The 3,196-nt window shown below is 34.4% G+C and overlaps 1 non-coding gene across 1 annotated transcript; it reads left to right on the forward strand.

Moving 5' to 3' along the window:
- Nucleotides 1-1,051: 1,051 nt before the first annotated feature.
- SNORD3P3 (small nucleolar RNA, C/D box 3 pseudogene 3) lies at nucleotides 1,052-1,181 on the forward strand. The gene has a single exon (NR_145983.1). It is a non-coding gene; the product is annotated as a small nucleolar RNA, C/D box 3 pseudogene 3 (small nucleolar RNA).
- Nucleotides 1,182-3,196: the final 2,015 nt, after the last annotated feature.

Consider the following 3,196-nt stretch of genomic DNA (forward strand, 5'->3'; position numbering starts at 1 on the left):
TTCAGCTGTCAGAGAAATGTTTCTTGAAGTGTAGCTCTAAGAAGCCATTTTTCTAGTTTAATCATCTATTATTTACCTATTGCCTATTAAGTTAGTTATTAACTACTACTAGTTCTAGCATTCAGACTCATAGGGTCCTCTGCAATGTGAATACAAACTACACTTCTATGCACAATTCCCTTACTCTCTTTGTCTCTAAATCAAATGCTGTTTAGTTTTCTGTCTCTATGCCTTCTGTGTGTGTTTGTAGCATCTTCCAGAATGTCCTGTCCCTGTATCAGTCAGTTTAAACTACATTTTTCTCTAGTAATGAATAGATTCCAAACCTCAGTGGGTTAAAACCACAGAGGTGTATTTCCCACTCACATTTCCTGCTTATCATGTTTGCCTGTGGCTTTTTTCCTTGCCCCTCCATTCTCAGAATAAGCTAATAGAGCAACTCCTCTCTAGAACACAACAGTCACTTGGCAGAAGGAACAGAGAGATGGTGGGACTCTGAAAGCTTTTTCTTGGAAATGGTGAACATTTTATTAACGAAAGGCAGTTATTTGACAAAATCTAACCTTAATGGAGTAAGGAGTATAATACCTCTCCATGTACTGGCCCAGTATGGAGAAGTGGTGAATATTTTCACTGCAATACTGTATCAGTCTGTTCTCACGCTGCTAATAAAGACACATTTGGGACTTGGTAATTTATAAAGGAAAAAGGTTTCATAAACTCACAGTTCCGCATAGCTGGGGAGGCCTCACAATCATGACGGAAAGCGATTAAGGAACAAAGTCACGTCTTACATGGCGGCAGACAGGAGAGAGCTTGTGCAGGGGAATTCCCATTTATGTAACCGTCAGATCTCCTGAGACTTATTCACTACCATGAGAACAGTATGGGGGAAACTGCCCTTATGCTTCAATTATCTCCACCTGGCCTTACCCTTAACATGTGGGGATTATTACAGTTCAAGGTGAGATGTGGGTGGGGACACAGCCAAACCGTATCAAATACCATCTACTTCACCTTTCTATCTCAGTCATTAAAATGCTAATTATCCAAGACTATACTTTCAGGGATCATTTCTATAGTTTGTTACTAGAGAAGTTTCTCTGAACGTGTAGAGCACTAAAATGCTAATTATCCAAAGAGACCCATGTCACTGAGATGCTTTTCCCCATTCTCCCAGCCAATACTACATTGAAAACACAAAGCATATTACTTAAACCTATCTTCTAAACTTATTTTTCTCTACTTTTCTTATTCTATCATTCCTCAAAACCCCATATTCCGATTGCAAGTTTTACTAAGACCTGGTGGCTATGGCATGTAACACTCAGCAAAATGCCTTGAACACAGTAGATGTTAATAAATGTTTATTGAACGTAGTTGATTTAATCACAAGTAATGAGACATTGAATACTTTTATGCTAAGAAGAATATGAACAAACTATATTTCAAGCTGATTAATATGGTAACTGAAACAGTATTTGCTTCTTTAAGCATCTTGGTTTATTTTCTTATGTAAATATGTTCCCACGATGTACAGGGTGCACAGAGCTAATTACCTTCCTTTGCTTGGTATGCAACAGACCAGAAAACCTAAAATTATTCTAATCCAAGTGTTTTTCCAAATGGCTTCTCTACAACCCACATTGATTCGGTATAGCAAAAGTAAAATTTACTTGGCAAAGATAATTTTTTTGGTAATGCAGTATAAAGAGAACGGTATAATACAGTCAGAACTTTTGACTTCAGGGTTTTGTGACACTGTCAGTGTATGTCTAATATTTAGTGTAAAGTTGGAAAAGATAAGAGTGACGATTGAATAAATAAATGAACAATGGATAAAATAATGTGTTCAAAAAGAAGAGTAATAATAAATTTTAATTAACAGATTTACATAAAAATATAGTTTCCACTGGAAAGATGGGATTGTATCAAATATCAGACCTAGTTAAGTCCTGCATACATGAGGTTGAAAAAATAATTCTATCAAAGAAAAATCTGGAAAGTTTAGATATAGCTATTTCTTATTTGACAATGTGGTCAAGAGAATAGTAGTTCCTTACAAGAACAGCAATATGCATATGTAAACATATCAGTGTACATTAAGGCTTAAAATGTATTTCTTAAAAGTATTTATTTTATAAAAGAAAAACAAAACAAAAACGAACAGACAGACTTAAGCTGTTTTTATGGGGTCTTCTTTAACTAACTGAATCTGAGTAGTATATATGATGGTTTACATTTCACTGTCAATGTCTGTAATTTAGTAAAAGTTAATCGTGTGTTCATTTTATGTTGCCATACGCAGCCCCACCAGCAGCAGCGTGAATGACCTAAGCCAGTAAAATCAAACACTGCAGAGACTGTTATATCTGAATGGAACAATTCATGTAAAGTAGATGAATTCCAGGTTTTCAATCAGGAACAGAACAATAGTTAGGAAAACTGCCAAGCCCCAAACTCATAAACACTAGGTTAAAACAATAATACAAATATTGTCTCATTGTATTCATGAAAAGAAAGCTGTCTATAGAAAATTTTTTGTTTGAGATCTTTGTAGCTATCAAGGGTTTCACTTTCCATTTAAACAGTGTTTCATTTAACAATCCTGCTCAAGTCAGTACGTTCGGTCAGGGATAGTAAGACTAGATATGAACACTAGTCTTATTATTTACTGAACTTCCTCTCCTTTGAATAATTCAAATGACAAACACTATAAATAATTTACTGGGAAAATATTTCCATTTTACTGCACCCAAGTGGTAAATTGTAACATCAAAATGATATCACTTTTATTATTGAAAAACATAATTTCAGAATATGGCCTATATACAAGCAACTGTCAAGCCATTAGATGAAAATATATCCAGAGGGAGTGTTTGTTGAATAAGTACAATTGAGTTCTTAACACTTTTGAAAACCAAAATGTGATTAGAGTCCTATAGAACAAAACCTAAAAATAATAATAATAACAGGGATAATAATAATAAGGCTTAAAATGTATTGAGTGCTTACTATAAGCCAGACACAGTTTTATATTCCTTATGTTTTATTTTATTTAATTCTCATAAAATTCTTCTTATGTAGGAATTAAGTAGAGAGAAAACTAAGGCATAACTTGGTTGAAAACCTTGCACAGGGCTATGTAGCCAGTTAGCAGTAGAACTAGAATTTGAATCCAGGCAGGCTGACTCTA

Source organism: Homo sapiens, chromosome 14, assembly GCF_000001405.40.
Source record: "Homo sapiens chromosome 14, GRCh38.p14 Primary Assembly".
Taxonomy (NCBI): Eukaryota; Metazoa; Chordata; class Mammalia; order Primates; family Hominidae; genus Homo; species Homo sapiens.